This window comes from Homo sapiens, chromosome 2 (assembly GCF_000001405.40).
Source record: "Homo sapiens chromosome 2, GRCh38.p14 Primary Assembly".
Classification (NCBI taxonomy): Eukaryota; Metazoa; Chordata; class Mammalia; order Primates; family Hominidae; genus Homo; species Homo sapiens.
Genome location: NC_000002.12, coordinates 240,868,096 through 240,885,470, shown reverse-complemented (window position 1 = coordinate 240,885,470; position 17,375 = coordinate 240,868,096). Strand labels below are relative to the sequence as shown.

General features: G+C 55.8%; 1 protein-coding gene across 1 annotated transcript, besides 1 other annotated feature; it reads right to left on the bottom strand.

Annotated features, from left to right (window-relative positions):
* AGXT (alanine--glyoxylate aminotransferase) lies at positions 4,971-16,647 on the bottom strand. Its single transcript, NM_000030.3, has 11 exons — positions 16,441-16,647; positions 16,109-16,301; positions 14,763-14,827; positions 14,022-14,122; positions 12,422-12,492; positions 11,409-11,493; positions 10,267-10,362; positions 9,467-9,536; positions 7,839-7,934; positions 7,321-7,449; positions 4,971-6,757 (listed from the first exon to the last, which is right to left on the bottom strand). Exons 1-11 carry the CDS (start codon positions 16,603-16,605, stop codon positions 6,650-6,652), a joined length of 1,179 nt encoding a protein of 392 aa, NP_000021.1. The 5' UTR covers positions 16,606-16,647; the 3' UTR covers positions 4,971-6,649.
* Positions 16,628-17,128: an enhancer, noted in NCBI's record as "H3K4me1 hESC enhancer chr2:241807760-241808260 (GRCh37/hg19 assembly coordinates)". NCBI's record gives its function as "activates a minimal SCP1, AML or CMV promoter by ChIP-STARR-seq in primed H9 embryonic stem cells {active_cell/tissue: H9 hESC(primed)}" and the evidence as "EXISTENCE:reporter gene assay evidence [ECO:0000049][PMID:30033119]".

Genomic DNA, 17,375 nt, shown 5'->3' with positions numbered 1-17,375 from the left:
TGGCTGTACATTGCAGGAGTAAGAGCTGGAATAGCAGGAAGGGCCAAGGGGAAGTTTATTGCAAAATCATCCCTATTCCCATGGCCAAGATAACCCAGCAAAACATACCACATCCTGGGTGTACTAACGGAATTTAGTTCTACTTTCAGAGACTTTAATTCACCAATATGGCCCCAGTAGAAGCCAGATGGATTATGGTGAATGGTAGTGGGTTACATAAACTTAACCAAGCTGTAACCCGTAGTCCAGGTGCTGTGCTAGACGTGGTATCCTTAGTACAACAGGACAGCAGGGCCTCTGGAACTTGTATGTGGTCACTGGCCTGGGAGAAAGGCATTCTTTCCAATCCCCATCAGAGGGGAGGCTCAGACACGGTTTGCATTCACTTGGAAGAGATAACATTATAAGTTCACTGTCTGGCCCAGACTGATGTTAACCCTCTCTTCTCTGTCACAATGTAGGCCTAATGGGCCTTCATCACCTGGATGGTCTATAGAATATTACGCTGGTTCACTGTATTGATGACATCATGCCAATTCGAACTGGAGAGGATTGACTGGAAAGTTCTTTGGATGCCTTCTAAGACCATTCATTCCAGAGGGTGGGAGACAAACTTTACAGTCTCAGGGCCTGGCCCAGAGATTAAGACTTTAGAGGCTCAGTGGTCTGGGGCATGCTGAGACATTGCTTCCAAGGTAAAGGGGAAGTTTTTGTACCTTGCCCCACCTACTGTGAAGAACAGGCATGGTGCTGTGTGGGCCTCATTGGATTTTGGAGGCTGCATGCACCTCACTTGGAAATGTCCATTTGCTGGGGGACTCAGAAGGCTGTTGGTTCTGAGTGGGGCCAGGGCACAGGCAGGTTCTTGAGTAGATTCACGCTATGATACCACCATGGTGCCAATGGTATCTGCAGTAGAAAGGGGCACCATGTGGCATCTCTGGCAAACCCCAAAAGAGGAGGTGAAGTCCTGGAACGAGAGCAAATTGTCTGCAGCAGAGAAGTACTCACTGTTCAAAAGCAGCATTTGGTGTGACACTGGGCCCCTGGCCAGGGGACACCAAGTAACTGTGTGACCTGAGCTGCCCACCATGAGCTGAATGTTATGGGGTCCTAAGTTTGGGGGTGGCAGTGGTGGTGCAACAGCAATCCATTGTACATGGACATGGCCTCTTCAGGGCCAGGCCAAGCAGGGTGGGTGGAAACAAGTCAGTTAGATGAACAATGGCCTGGGTCACCCTATCATCACCTACGTGCACCTGTGCCTCTCCTTTAACCTCACACATAATCGCCTTGAGAGGGTTCCCTGGGACTAGATGACCGAGGAAGAAAATCTTGAGCCTGGTTCATGGATATGATGGCTTGGTCTTTTGGTGCGAACCAAAATGGACTTTCCCAACTCAGGGTTCCTAGAAGAGAGTGGTGAGGGAAAATCCTCCGCATGGGCAGAGTATCAAGAAATAGAAACTGGGCCAGGCGCGGTGGCTCACATCTGTAATCCCAGCACTTTGGGAGGCCGGGGTGGGTGGATCACCTGAGGTCAGGAGTTCGAGACCAGCCTGGCCAACATGGTAAAACCCCGTCTCTACTAAAAATACAAAAAATTAGCCGGGCATGGTGGCAGGTGCCTGTAATCCCAGCTACTCGGGAGGCTGAGGCAGGAGAATTGCTTGAACCTGGGAGGTGGAGGTTGCGGTAAGCCGAGATCCCACCATTGCACTCCAGCCTGGGCAACAAGAGCGAAACTCCGTCTCAAAAAAAGAAAAGAAAAGAAAAGAAAAGAAAAGAAATAGAAATCGTTCATCTCTTTTGTATGGAGAGACAAGTGGCCCAAGGAAAGAAAACACACAAACATTAAGACAAAGAGTATTACCAGAGGTAAGGGGCGATATTTCACAATGATAAAAATAGTCAGTTCATCAAGAAGGTGTAACAATCCTAACAACAGACCTTCAAAATCATGAAGATGAATGCATAAAGGGAGAAGGAGACAAGACCACATTCATGCTGGGAGAACTGAACACCCCACTCTCAGTACTTCATAGAAAAAGCAGGCAAAAAACCAAAACAAAACAAACAACAACAACAAAACCCCAGTGATACAAAGAAGACTTGAACAATGCTGTCATCCAGGCGGACCTGAGGATCTGTAGAAGCTCACACCTGACAATGACGAAGACACGTTCATCTCGTGTCCATGGGATAGTCACCGAGACTGCTGCTAGTTTATAAAACAGACTCTCAGTACATGTTCAAAATACTGAAGTCCATATACAGTATGAGCTCTGACCACAACAGACATAAATTTGAAATAAAAAACAAAAATACATTTAGAATATCCACCAAATATCTGAACATTACACAGTATAAGTCTAAATAGTCTGTGGTTCAAAGAATAAATCACAAGGAAATTATAAAATATTTTGATCTGAGTGATTCCAAAAACACCATTGATTAAAATTTGGGAGATGCAGTGAAGAAGGCGCTCAGAGGGAAATGTTTAGCTTTAAATGCTCATACTAGAAAACAAATAAATGTTTAAAATCAATTAAGCTTCTACCATAGGAAGCTAGAAAAAGAGGAGCAAATTAAAACCAAAGGAAGTAAAATAAAAGGAACAATAAGAGTGGAAATCAATACAAAGCAAACAATTGAGAAAATGATGGTAAATGTCGCTTTTTTGGAGAGACTAATAAAATCAGTAACCCCCTAGCAAGACTGATCAATGGGAGAAAAAAAAGGAGAAAATATAAATTACCAATACCAGGAATGAAACAGGGAAATCAATAGAGAGCCCGTAAGCATTAAAGGATAATAAAGGGATATTATGGATGATTTTATGCCAACACATTCAACAACTTGGAATCAAGCATGCTCTGGGTAACACAAATTACCAAAACGGGCACAAAGAGAGAGACAAAAATCTAAAGAACTCTATGTCTATGAAAACATTAGAAGTCATTAAAAAAATCCTTCCCATAAAGAAAGCTCCTGTCCCATAAAGCTTCACTGGACAATTCTACCAAAATATAAGGAAAAAAAAAATAGTCCCTATTCTAGACAAATTTAATTGATAAATAAAGGAAAAGAAAATACTGTCCAAACCACTTTACAAGACCAATGTAACCTTGCTATCAAAACCTGACAAATATATTACGAGAAAATAAGAGGTCAGTCAACAAAACAGCACATCCGTAGAATATAGAAACATAACTTTATGATCATCTCACCATAGGCAGAAAAGGTATTTGACAAAATACAACAGCTGTTAGTGATAAATACCCTCTGCAAACTAGGACAGGTGGGGACTTCCTGCCTGTGAGAGCAGGGCAGCTGCAGAAACCCCACTGCTGCCGTCAGCCTGACGCTGAGACATTAAACACGTCTCCAAGGCGAGAAGGTGCACACTCATCACTGAGATTCAGCACTGTATTTGTGGCCTACACCGTTGCAATGAAGCAAGAAAAAGTACATAAAAGGCAGAAGATGTACAACTCTCATTAGTCACAGAGAGTTTGATTATCTACTTAGAAAATTTAAAGGAATCTACAAAGAAGCTACTAGGCCTTGTGAATTTAGGAAGGTCAGAAGATACAAAATTAATATAGAAAAAAATGAGATTATATATTAAAAAATAAACAACTGGAAATGAAAATTTTCAAATGCCATTTATAACAGCATCAACAAGATCAAACACCTAGGAATAAATCTAACAAAAGATCTACGCCCAAGTGGGCTGTTTCCAGGAGGTTCTACTTGGAGGGAGAAGGGCCGCTGGGGGCCGGGGAGGCTGCCTGGTCCTGCCTCCTGGGCTGGATCAGTGGCTTTCCTGTTCCTGGGTTCCTGGCTTTCCTTAAATAACCCCCTCCCACTTTGCTGTATGTTGAAAACTAGAAACATTGCTGAAAGTAATTTTAAAATACTTACATTTCTGTTTGTGAAATGGAATTTATACTTTATTTCCATTTTCCTTAACTTGATATATAGATTTGGTGCAGTTCCTACCAAAATTTCAGCAAGCTATTCTGAAGAAATAGACAACATGAATCTAAAACGTACACAGAAATTCAAAGGATGTAGAATACAAAAAACCTTTAAAAGGGAGAAAAACATTGGAGGACTTGTTCTTAATTTCAAGAGTTATTGTAAAGCTACAATATTTGCAACAGCATGGGATTGACACGAGGATGCAATGAAACAGAAGAGAGGCTGTAAATAGACCTATGAATGTGTAGTCAACTGATTTTTAACAAAGTTGTCAAGTCAGTTCAATGGGGAAAGGAAAGTCTGTTTAACAAACGTTACTGGAACTGGGATATCAGTATGGATAAAAATGAACCTTGACCCCCTTTCTACACTGTGCACAAAATTAATATGAGGTGTATCATAGACCTAAATACAAAAGCTGACACTGTAAAGTTTCTAGAAGAAAACACAGGAAGATACCGTCCAGACCTCAAAGTAGGCAAAGGTTTCTTAGACAAGATACAAACAGCCCAGACCATAGAAAAAAACTCATTCATAAATACGACTTCACCAAAATTGAAAATACCTGCTCTTTGAAAGACACAATTAAGAAAATGAATAGGTAAGCTGGGTGTGGTGGCTCATGCCTGTAATCCCAGCACTTTGGGAGGCTGAGGTGGGTGGATCACTTGAGGTCAGGAATTTGAGACCAGCCTGGCCAACATGGCAAAACCCCGTCTCTACAAAAAAACACAAAAATTAGCCGGGTGTGGTGGTGCATGCCTGTAATCCCAGCTACTTGGGAGGCTGAGGCAGGAGAATCTCTTGAACCCGGGAGGTGGAGGTTGCAGTGAGCTGAGATCACACCACTGCTCTCCAGCCTGGACGGAGTGAGATTCTTTCTCAAAAAAAAAAAAAAAAAAAAAAAAAGAAAGAAAGAAAAAAGAAAAGAAAATGAACAGGTAAGCCACAGAGAGGGAGGAAATATTCATGCCACACGTATCTGATAGTATCTAGAATATATTTTAAAATGATCACACATTGACAATAAGAAGATAAAAATCCAAATATGAACAAAATATTTGAACTGACACTTTTCAGAAGATCTACAAACGGCCGATAGCTCATGAGAAGTTGCTCAACATCAATAGGCATCAGGGAAATGCAAACTAAAACCAAATCAGACAGGATTTTACACCCCCTAGCAAAAAAAGACAACATGGAGTGTGGGTGAGGACGTGGAGCACCCTGGACGCTGTAGCTGCGGGAATGAAACATGGAAGAGCCACTTCGGAGAATTTCGTGGCAGTCTCGTATAAGGTTAAGCCTATTGTATGACCCTGCAATTCCACTCCTAGTTATTTATCCAAGAAAAATGAAAATATATGGCCACACGAAGGCTTGAGTAAGAATTTCACTACCTCCGTATTCATAACAGCCCCAAAATAGAAATAACCCAGATGCTCAACTATGGTGATGAACCAACAAATCATGAGGTGTCCATATGACGGGACGGCACTCAGCAACAAGACACACCGGCGCCCACGACGCACGTCCATATGACGGGACGGCACTCAGCAACAAAGACACACCGGCGCCCACGACGGTACATGTGAGTGTCAAAAACAGTAAGTGAAAGAAGCTGGCACAGTGGAGGACCTGCTGTGTGTTCCACTGACCATGAAATTCAACTATGGCTGGGCACAGTGGCTCACGCTTGTAATCCCAGCACTTTGGGAGGCCGAGGCAGGTGGATCACTTGAGGTCAGGAGTTCGAGACCAGCCTGGCCAATATAGTGAAACCCCATCTGTACTAAAAATACAAAAATTAGCCGGGCATGGTGGTGCACACCTGTAGTCCCAGCTAATCCGGAGCCTGAGGCAGGAGAATCGCTTGAACCCGGGAGGCGGAGGTTGTAGTGAGCTGAGATCGTGCCACTGCACTCCAGCCTGGGCAACAAGAGTGAAACTCCGTTTCAAAATAAATAAATAAATTCAAATATGCCAGGCTGATCTATGGTCACAGAAGTCAGGCAGTTGAGGGGTGGGCACTGGCTGGATGGGAGCATAGGGGACCTTCCATTGGAGGCTTCCACGTGTCATGGGCTCAGGTCCTGGCTGTGCGCTCTCCAGCACGCAGGTACCCTTGTCCATGACAGGGGTCTCCAACCAGCCCTGTGCGCCGTGTGGGTTCACCTGGATGTGGTGCGTGAGGACGTTTGGGGGTGTGACATCTGGGGCTAGAGTGTGGTGACAGCACCTCCTCCAGGGGAGGATCTACCCTGTGGGCTCCAGGATGAGGAGTGTCCCCCTAAAGTCCACAATCAGGCAGCTCAGGGAGCAGAGATGCTCTCCTCTCACTCTTTCACAGACCACCCCACACAGTGAGGAGAGTTGGCCAGGCCCTTTATTAAACATTCCCGGGAGGCTCATGGCCTGGGGACTGCAGCTCATTTGGAAGGCACTGGGTTTTGCGCCCAAGTGGACTGTTTCCAGGAGGTGCCACTGGAGGGAAAAGGGCTGCCTGGGGCCAGGGAGGCTGCCTGGTTCTGCCTCCCGGGCTGGGTCAGTGGCTTTCCTGTCCCCAGGCCTGGAGGACCTTGCAGGGTCTGTTTGCTCCTGATCCCTCAGGGTGGGCATGGGACAGGTGTGTGCCAGTGCCAGCTGTGTGCCAGTGGGCAGGTCACAGCTTCTTCTTGGGGCAGTGCTGCAGGGCCGCCCTCAGGGCCTCCGTCACGCGGTCCACATTCTCGCGGGTGGCATTGCAGCCCAGCAGGCCGATCCGCAGCACCTGGGGGGCACAGGGCGGGCTGACGTCAGCCTCCCGCCTGGGACCTGCCTGACCCTGACCGACAGCTGGCCAGAGCCAGGATGGGCTCACCTGAGTGAGGACCACCCACCCAGCGTCCATGAGGGGAGTTGACAGCCCTGTGCAGGTCACAGAGGGGGCCCTTGAGCACCCAGGCCAGGGCAGGCTCTCCTCCCTCTGCACCCGCAGCCACACGGGAGGACAGGGTGGTGCAGTGAAGGTCCCTCCCCACTGCCACTCAGAGACACAGCCAGGCCCAGGCGTGGGGCTTCCGGCCTGGTTCCAGGGTCTGGTCAGAGGGAAGGAAGGATGTTCCGAGTGGAATCATAAAGGCTGCACCTGGTGACCTCAGTGGGCTGGGGTGGGAGCAGGGGCGACAGGATACGCTTTACTGGATACCCCTTGGAGAGTGGGCCCTTCTGGACGCTCCTGCAATCTGGGCTTTCGGATGACCCCGGCCTCCCCTGCACCTGGTGCACAGTCCTGCTCAAGGAGGGGTGGCGGGTTTGGTTTCTGCAAAAGGCCCTCGAGGCGCTCCCTCTCACCTTCCCCGTGGAGGGCCCAAGGCCACCCATGATCTCAATGTCGAAGTGGTCTATGACGTAGCTGACGATGTCTCTCCAGTCATAGCCAGCGGGTACAGCCACAGTGGTGACTGTGGGAAGCCGGAGCGCCTGCAGGAGGGGCCTGGCTCAGTGCGTGGGTGAGAGGCCCTGTACGGGCCTTTGTGACAGCTCTTGGCCTGCACCATCTGCCCCAGCTTCAGGTTCCAGAGGAGCCGGGGGAGAAAGGGCCGGGAGAGAGCAGGGACCCCACCCCTTAGGAGGCGGTGGATGGGCACCTTCCCACTGGGAGATCACAGGCCGTCCTGAGATCCCGCATCAGAGGCCGGGAGCTGTGACTTCGTGGCTCCTGCCGAGACTAATCCCTGGCACCGAGGCCACACCACCGGGCAGCCGCCCCCTCCTTCTCAGGAGCCAGTGTCCCTCTTGAGGGGGCTGGGCAAGAGCCCCTCATCCTTCCCCATGGGTGCAGGGCTGCCCAATGCCAGGGGCCTCCTTACCGGGTCCTTCACGAAGAGCTGCAGCCCCAGTGCCTGCAGGCGCCCATGCAGATACGCCGCGGCCTCGCGGTGCTGGCGCCAGCTGTTCTCCAGGCCCTGTGTGGGAGATGGCGCTGGTGGGCAGTGACATGGGTGGGGTGGGCAGGAAGCCCCGCCCTCTGTGGTGCGGGAGGAAGAACCTGACTCTGCAGGCCTTGGTGCAGGGGAGCCCCTGGAGCCCCCAGTTTGACTTTGCCTGGGGCAGGGCCTGGGACTACCCCAGGGCAGAAGGAAACATCTGGGTCTGGGAGAGACAGAGGAGGGTTCAGAGAGACAGAGGGGAGGTCTGCCTGTGGCCCCTGGGGGAGAAGAGTGGAGAGTGCCTTGCAGGGGGAGGGGACTGGGCAAGGAGGGGAAGGGCTGTTGGGCTACACAGGGCTGGAGTGGATCAGGGCCAGGGCTCAGGGTGCTGGCTCCCAGGCCCCCTCTCCTCTCAGGGCCAGCTCCCCCGACCTGGCATCCTCCGCAGCACTGCTCCTGCCTCAGCTCTGGACAGGTGAGGGGTGGTCTCTCCAGCCCTGGGCCCCTCAGTGCCATTACCTCTGGTCACGGGTCCTCCCGGCCTCCAGCCACCAGCTCTCATGGCCACCCCAGGTGGGTCCCCGGAGCAGCAGCTGCTCTCTACTCTGGCCCTGGCCCGTCTTCTCTGCGCATGTGCCCCTGCAATCTGCACTCTGCCAGGTCCCTGTGCCTCTGCCCTTGACTGTGCCCTGCTGTCTGGTCCTGTTCTCTTCCTTCTCTGCCCAGCTCACACCCCCCACCCACCTTTACGACCCTAGAGCCTTTCCCTGTGTGAGCGCCTGACCCCTCGCCTTCCCCCGCGGGTGCGGGTGGCATTTAGCTTACAGGGGCACCCTGGCACTAACCCAGCCCTAGGCAGTGGCTTTATGAGTGGACCCAGGAGGACAAACGTGGCAGGCACGGCCTTGCAACCTCATGGGAAGCTGGCTGCAGCCCGGGGATCCTTCCTGGACTCTGGACTGGTGGCTGGCAATGGGCCCTGTGGGACACAGGACCCAGATGAAAGTAGGTGGGACTTCCTGTCTCGTGGCCTGCAGAGCTGCTGGGCCTGAGGCCACTCTCAGCCGCCTGTGTCCTGAGAGTGTGGATGTTGCAGTGTCCTGAGAGTGTGGATGTTGCAGTGGCCAAATCAACCCCTGGTCACACCCAAGTGCTCATGCTCAGCTCTTGCCCTGCCATAGGAGCTGGACAAGCCTGCAGGAACTGCCAACCCTCACTTTACATCCACGCCCACCTATCTGTGGGCACATCTCTGGCCCCTTCGGCCTCCCCTTCTCCCAGCCCACCCACTCACTGGGCCTCACTTACTGCTTCACACAGCAATGGAAGGGTTGGGAGCATCCACACCTGCCCCATTGCTGCATCTGTCCCTGGGGCTGTATCCCCCTGGCCCTGCCCGCAGCCAGTGTACCCGGGGCCCTGTCCTCTCTCCCCCACCCCCACTGAGGGCCTCTCTCTGGCAGGCTCCCTTTTCTCTGTGCACCAGGGATGGTTCCTTCTCTGCAGGCCGCGCCCTCGACAATCCAGCCAGTGGCCCTGTCTCCTCCTGTGGAGTGCAGCCCATGCACCTGTTCCGCAATGAGGGCCAGGCTCTCTCTCAGGCTGTACAGGCTGATGACGGGGATTGTGTGATGGTACCTGGAAGACACGAGGGGGCTTGGTCCAGCACCATGGGCAGGGTTGGGGGCAGATGGGGCATTAGCTCTGTCTGCCCCAGCCCCAACAGCACAGGCTCTCTGACCACAGGCCGGTATCCTCCGCAGAGGAGTCCTGTCCGGGTTCAGAACTTTGGACCGGGAAGGCAGCTTCGTCTGCCAGGGAGAGCATGGCTTGTGTAGGGCCCAGCCAGGAGGCAGTGGGTGGCTGCAGGAGCAGAGACACGTGCCACCACCTCCCTGCGGAGCCCCTCAGTCCCAGCGTGCCTGCGAAGCCGGCACTGGCCCTCTGTGCCCACTGGGCTAGGGCACCATTCCTGGCGCCTTGTTCCTGTGTGTAACATAAGGGGCCTTGGGTTTATGGCCAAGGTCGTCTTTTCAGAAGGGGTAAGCTGAGGCCCAGGAGTGGGGAGATGTGGCAGGGCCAGGTCCAAAGTGCCCGAGGGTGTGCTGGGACCTCTGGGGGGACAGTGTTTGTGGAAGCGGCAGTGGGGGCCATGACCCTGCCCAGAGCCTCGGGCCAGTCGAGGAATGGGGGAACCCAGGGTGGGGCATTTGACTGCCTGATGCAGGCGGATTCTGGGGCTCTAGTTGGGGTTCTTGAGGCATGAAGGTGGGGGGCTTGGAGAATCCCTGAGTGCAGTGAGAGGCCAGCGCCCCACCTCTCAGCCATGCCCAGCGCCCTCCACCTTCCCATCCCTGCCAGGCCTCACATCCTGGGCTGGTCGTCACAGCCCCAGAAGTTGGCCAGCCACTTGATGTCCAGGTAGAAGGAGAAGGGCTTCGTCTTGCGGGAGTACATCTTCTTTCTGGGGAGAAAGAAGCAGGCTGAGCACCAGCCTCTCAGTTTGGGCTGAAGGCCAGGGCAGTCTCGCTGGCTGTCCTGTTTCACGGGAGTGAGACGGGGTGGGGCCCCCAGGAGGGCCCGCCCCAGCTGCATTTGTGCTCAGGGGCCAGAGTGGGACCGGGTGGGTCGTGGGTCCCTCAGCTGTCCAGTCCCGCTGGCCCTTGGGCCCAGCTGTGTGACCCTGCCATGGGGGCACCAAGGCCAGCTCCCTCCACTCTGTGTGCCCCTTTCTCTCCCCCAGCCCCTCCTACAGGGTCAGCCTTCATTTCTCACATCACCCAAAGGTGACTGCTTTCGGGCCCCAGGGGACACTGGCCAGGCTTGAAACTTTAAATGTGTCCGTCTCTACAACTCCAGATGGAGGGGCCAGCCCCGGCCTCTCCCCAGGCTCCTGACTCACACCCAGCCGCTTCCTTCACCCTCCCGTGTGGTCCAGCTGGCATCTCAGACCTCCCACGTCCAACACCGAATTCCTGACTTCTCCCCGAAGTCCTCTCTGTTCTGGGGAACGGCACCTCCAGTTGCCAGGCTGCAGCTGGATGGGAACCGCCTGTGAGGTCTGGCCCCCTTCCCCTACCCCCTGCCCGGCCTGGCTCAGAATCTGGACACCAGGAGCGGGAGGTGAGATTGGGACTGCAGGGGGCACTGTGTGTGGCCCACGTTGTCCCTTGGGGCAGCCCCTGGAAGCTGAGCCAGGGCAGAGGCCGGTCAGGGCACTGGGCCTCAGGCCCTCAGTCCTTTCCTGGTCACTCCTTGCTGTGAAGCTGGGAACTTCCAGAGCAGTGGACTCTGCACCCTGCACACGCCTGCAGCCCTCCCCTCGCCCGGCCTCCCCACTCCCTGTGAACGCAGTGCCTTTGGCCTCCCAGAGGGTGGGCGGGAGAGCGCCAGGTGCTGGAGGAGCATGGGGAGCCCTTCCTGCCTGGCTCCCGCCCCTCCCGCCTCGGGCCACCTGAGCTCCCTGCAAGCCCAGCCCTGCACAGAGGTGAGGGTCTGTGGGTCACTCACTTGGCCTTGTCACTGAAGGAGATGAGCGAGGTCCCTGGAGGGGCGTTCAGGGCCTTCTGGGAGCCCGAGTACAGGATGTCGATGCCTGTAGATGGGTGGTTTGCTCGGGACGGGTGAGTCCCACCTCAGGGCAGGCCAGTCCAGCGGGATGCCTGCCTAGCTAATGGGCTGGTAGGCTACGACCCTACCACGAATCCGTACACGATAGCAGGGGAGATGTGGAAGGGAGTCCTGGGTTCAAATCTGGGCACTGCTGCGTGGCAGCCATGACCTCAGGCCTGAGCGTTTTAGCGCAGCTTCTCCCTCTGCTGTGCTGGTCCCCAGGGACAGCCCTGCCACCCCAGGCACCGTGTCCCTGGGGCCCTCCCCAGGTCCCTGCTTTCAGTAGTAGTTTGAGGATCAGCCCAGAAATCCCTCCCTTCCTGCCTGAGAACTCCCAAATCAGGAGGGGCTCTGCAGAAACAGACAGGCTCCCATGGAGTGGGTGGGCAGGCACCGCAGTGGATGCAATGTGCAGGCTCTCTCCCGTAAGCGGATGGGCACAGGAGGCTCCTTGGCCCCTCGGCCGGCCTGGTTGAGGTTCCCTGCGAGGTGACCCTGACAGTGGTGCTCACTGCTATGGGCAGCCTGGCAGGGCGCAGGGCAGATGTGAAACTGAGCCTCTGGGGGGTTGGGCAGAGGGGTGCCCAACGCCTGATTGACTGGAGCCCTGGCCCTTCCTCTTCCCACTGCTTCTGCTACAGCTCTGGGGCATCTCAAATGTCCCCCACCAGAAGCTGTCCCTCCTGCCAGTCCCCACGCCTGGATCTGAAAGCTCAGTGGAAACACTGGGGTGCTGGGTAGTTCATGGAGCCGCTCTTGCCGCAGTAAGGAGTGAGTGTTTCCCTGGGCCTGGTGGAGATGGGGCCGAATCCGCAGCATCGGCTGCTGGACGCACGCTTCCAGCAGGGCTTCCTGCACGCGGAGCCCCAAGGCTGCTTGGGCTGGGTAGGGCTCTCAGAGCCCACCCTTACCTTGCCGGTCCATGTAAAGGGGGGTCCCGCCCAGGGATGCCACCGAATCCACCAGGAGCAGGCACTTGTACCTGGAGAGGTGGGGGACAGAATGGAGGGCAGCAGGTGAGGCAGGGGGCCACTGGAGGGCCTGGCCCCAGGCTGGATGGGGTTTCTGAGCCTCAGGCTGGCAAGGAAGGCAGGGCACCTCCCACCTCCACCCCAGGAGTTGGCCAGTTGCCTTCTCCTGCCTGTCAGGATCCATCAGGACCTGTGGCTCTTCCTTTCTCAGCCCTGAACATTGGAGCAGAGGGAGCTGGGGGAGTGAGGGAGCATCACGGCCCTGGTGAGACCCAGCTGCAGGGCCCGGCAGTGGTGCTGAAGAGGGTCAGCCGGGCAGTCTGTGGTTCCCAGGGACAGCGGGTGCCTGAGGGCCTGTGTGGACCCCAGGGACCAGGGTGGCACCAGGCTGGGCCTACCTCTGCCAACAGCTGCTCGGCCCAGCCACTGGCCAGAATCTAGGCCAGAGGGGACAGAGTCCCAGAACAGCCCAAGCAGCAGCGCCACAAACTCTCACCCTCCTCCGCCTCCATGTTCACGAACTCTCGCCCTCCTCCTCCTGCATGTTCACGAACTCTCACCCTCCTCCTGCATGTTCACGAACTCTCACCCTCCTCCACCTGCATGTTCACGAACTCTCACCCTCCTCCGCCTGCATGTTCACGAACTCTCACCCTCCTCCTCCTCCATGTTCACGAACTCTCACCCTCCTCCTCCTGCATGTTCACGAACTCTCACCCTCCTCCTGCATGTTCACGAACTCTTATCCTCCTCCACCTACATGTTCACGAACTCTCACCCTCCTCCGCCTGCATGTTCACGAACTCTCACCCTCCTCCGCCTCCATGTTCACAAACTCTCACCCTCCTCCACCTCCAGGTTTTCTTATAAAGAAAAAAGAGACACAGAAAGTATCTCGTGCTGGCCGCAGGTGGGGATGGCCTGGGTGTTGCTGAAGCTGGCCAGGTTATGTTTGTGAGCTTTATTCATGGCCACGGTCCATGCAGCAAGCTGTCTGGGCTGGGGGCCCTGTCAGAAGGACCCTCCCTGGCCGTGGAGTTTCTCTCCTCTGTCCTGTGCTCAGACCTGCAGACGGGACTGCTGGGTCCCAAGGGGCTCTGTCCGCATTTCTCAGGAATCCCATCTGACTCCATTCAAGGCCTTGCCCTGTGCACCCCCATGCGGGGATGAGGGAGGCTGGAGGAGGGAAGTGGAGGGCATCAGGCAGCTTTAGTGTCCTGGCAATCTCGGGGTGAGGTGGGGACAGGCCCTGGCAAGATATGGAAGTCTGCACCAAGCCCTCTTCAGCCCTGGGGACAGAGGTCAGTGGGCACTATGGGGGCGCTCGGCCAGGGAGCACCTGAGCCTGCCCTGGGACCTGGGGTTGTCTTTAGACTCAGCCCAGAGCAAAGAGGACCTGGGAGGTGCCTGCACCCCATACCATGTGACAGAGGCTGGGGTGGGGACCAGGGGCAGAAGGACCAGAGGGACCAGTGCCCACCCCTCCCCATAGCCTGGCTCTGAGCTGTGCTCCAGTCCACCGCCCTGGGGCCAGGCTCACCTGTGGCAGAGTTCCCCGAAGCCATCAAGGGGCTGCAGCACGCCGGTGGACGACTCCCCGTGGGTTAAGAACAGCAGCACTGGCTTGTGCTGGGCCAGGCCCTGAGGAAGCAGGGACGGCTGTGGGTGGAGCTCAGAGGGGCAGGGGCCAGAACACCCCCACAAACCCCCCATGGGTGGCACAGCTCCAGGTAGCAGGGGCTGGGCCTGCCTCTACTCCTCCCTGATGGTGTGCATGGGAGGAGGAGGCTGGGGCATCTCCGCTCCGGGACAAGGGCTTTTCCAAGAACAGGACTTTGGTGCAGAGATGGAGGAGGGTGCCCCCAGCCTGTTGCCTGGCCTGTGAGGGCTGTTGCTAGATGGACTGAGTCCCCACACTCCGGGTAGGCTGAGGTTGACTTCAGCCCACAGGGTGGGGTATCCTGAGTGTCAGGGACATGTTCTGCAGCCTAGACTCCAACTCGGCCTCCTGCCTCCAGCCTCTCTGGCCCTGCCTACAGGACCAGGCTCCTGACTCAGTTTCCCTGCCAGACAGAAGCCTCCTTACCAGTCTTCCCACCATTCCCAGGTAATGGAACCCTCCCCTGTGGCCGCTCACCAGATGCTAGGATGGGCTGAGGGTCAGCCACCAGCCTCCCGGCCATGATCCCACCCTGCTGGCTGGCCAATTCCAGGCAGCCCCTGAGCCAGCATGCCCACTCCCACCTCCTCCCGGCCCTGACCCCCACCCCGGGTCCCCTACCTCCTCCACCTCCTGCAGTGTGTAGTGGCCTCCAGGGTCCTTGGTCATCGGGTGCACTCGGGCTCCTGGGTGCAGGACAGAGTGGGCCGTGAGTGTCCCGCACACACTGTAGAAGCCAGTGTTGGGCACCCGTGGCCCTGCTGAGCAGGGCCCTGTGAGGGCTGGACCCCACCCACCGTGGCACCCTGGCTGCCTGCCTGAAGAGGAGGGTGGACTCTGCCCAATGAGAGCCTCTCTGTGTGTAGAGCCAGGGCCATCTTGACCCCCCTGCTGTTGGAGCCAACGCTCCTGGGGCACTCTTGACAGAGCTCAGCTCAAATGCCCTTTCTCAGGCCACACTGACCAGTGCCTCCCCAAGCAGAGAGTGAGCTCCCGGGAGTCAGGGCTGCACCTGGCCCAGGGCTGGCACAAAGAGTGTACCTGGTCCAGGGCTGGCACACCACAGGTGTGATGGATGACAGACTGAAGGATGAGGGGTGAGTGAGGCAGCAGCCTTGACCTCTGTTGGAGCTGGGGACTCCAGGAATCAGGCCCTCACCCCCTCCCTGTCTCTGCCCTATCCTGTGTGCTGTTCAGGGCCAGGTTGTGGGAGGGGAAGAACCTGCGGCCAAGGGGACAGAATGGGGAAAAGGGAAGCCATATACCACAGGCATCTGAGCCTGCGTGCCCTGATGTCCACTTGGGGTCCTGGCCTCTGCCGACCCTGGGTCCCCTTGAAAAGTTTGTGGACTTGGGGTTGGGACCCTCTTGGCTGTTGCGGTCGCGTATTAACCAGCATGGCCATTGTGGAGCTCACCAAGCTGATGTCCCTCAATGCCACAATCAATCATTAAACCCAGGGCACACTCCTGCTCCTGTGTCTCTCCCAGAAAAGTGTACTCCGGAGGCGAATACTCTGCCCATACCTCCATATTTTGTGTATCACATCAAGATTCCAGAAGGAAGGCTGCTGAGATTTGAGGGGAGGCTTCAGCTTCTGAAACCCCACCCTGTCACAAAGCAGAGCTGGTGCCTGGGGCCCTGGACAGCGGCCGGGGCTCTCAGGAGTGTGTGCTGGGACCAGAGGCTTCCCTGTAGTTCCGTCCTGCACATGCTCCAGAAACAGCTCAAGGAGACTGGGGGGATCGGGGCACCTGTGCTGCTCCCAGCCCTATCAGAGTCAGGCCTCATGAGTGCCCGACACCGCCTGGAGGAGGCAGTGGGCTGGCAGGAGGTTCGTGCGCACAGGGCCACAAGGTGGGTAAGCGCTCACCCAGGAACGGGGGCTGCCAGCTTCAAACAGAGGGAGGCCAGGGAGGCCTTGAAGGATGGATCCAGGGCCATCCCCACCTGGGCCTCTCCCTTACCTATGCGCTCCCCGATGTCCACGGCTCGCTGCCCCCAAATGCCATTGGCCCCAACCAGGAAGGAGTCCCCAGGCTCCAGCACATTGACCAGGGCGGCCTCCAGGGCACAGTGTCCCGAGCCAGAGATGACCAGTGTGAGTGGGTTCCTGGTCTGGAACACGTACTGGATGCCTTCCTTGATCTCGTCCATGATCTGCATGCGGGTGGTATAGGGTGAGACCCAGGCTCCCCGCCTCCCCAAGTGAGGAGGCAGTGACCCCCTTCCCTCGTCCACGATCTGTGGGTGGGAACATGGGTGAGACCCAGGCCCCCCGAGTGACCCCCACTCCTACCTGGTACATATCCTTGCTCATGGACCCGATCATCTGCAGCCCCCCGGCTGCCATGATGCGAGGAGGCAGGTTGGAAGGACCAGGCCCCAGCAGGAGCTGGTTGGGGATGGAGAGGGGCTTGAGCAGGGCCTTGGGGGGGGTCACCAGCAGCTTGTGAGAGGCCATGGTCCGCACCCAACCTGCCGCTCGGGAACCTGGGGCTGCACTGGCCTTGGCCAAAGCCTGGAATATTTCCCAGCAGGGCGGACACAGAGGTGAGAGGTGAGGATTGGTGGATGGGCTTCCGTGGCAGCCCTGCCTTTTGTTCCCTGAGGCTTATCTGTGCTTGTGCTGCGGGTCACGGCCAGGCAGCAGGGGACGAAGCCCTCAGGCAGAGGGAGCCCCCAGGGCTGAGTGACAGAAAAACAGAGTGTGACAAAGCTGTCCTCACCCCAGCCCTCCTCGCTCCCACTCTGAGTCCTGCACGTCCAGCCCCTCTTATTCTGCTTAGCTCAGGGGTGAGAGAAGTGTTTCTTAAAGGGTCGGAGCACAGATAATTGAGGCTTGGCAGGCCCTGTGGTCTATGTTGCAACAACTCAACCCTGCTGCGTGCTTGCAAAGCAGCTGCCAGAGGTGTGGGCGTGTTCCTATAAAACTTTATTTACAAAAAGCAGGTGGCAGGCCAGATTGGGCCCATGGACTGTGGTTTGCTGACCCTGGCGCAGCTGATGGGAAGGCTTGTAAACCAAAAATAAAATTCGAAGGCCCCCCAGCAACCATCTGAATGGGGTTCCCTGTCCGCCAGGGTGCTCTAAACTTTAACCCGGAAGACGTTCAGGCCATGCCACATCATAACCCCCAGCATTAACATCGACATAGACCTTAAGTCTGATAGGAAGCATTTACCATCTATTTTCTCTCTAAATCCCGCTACCTGAAGGCATCATCTGCTCCCT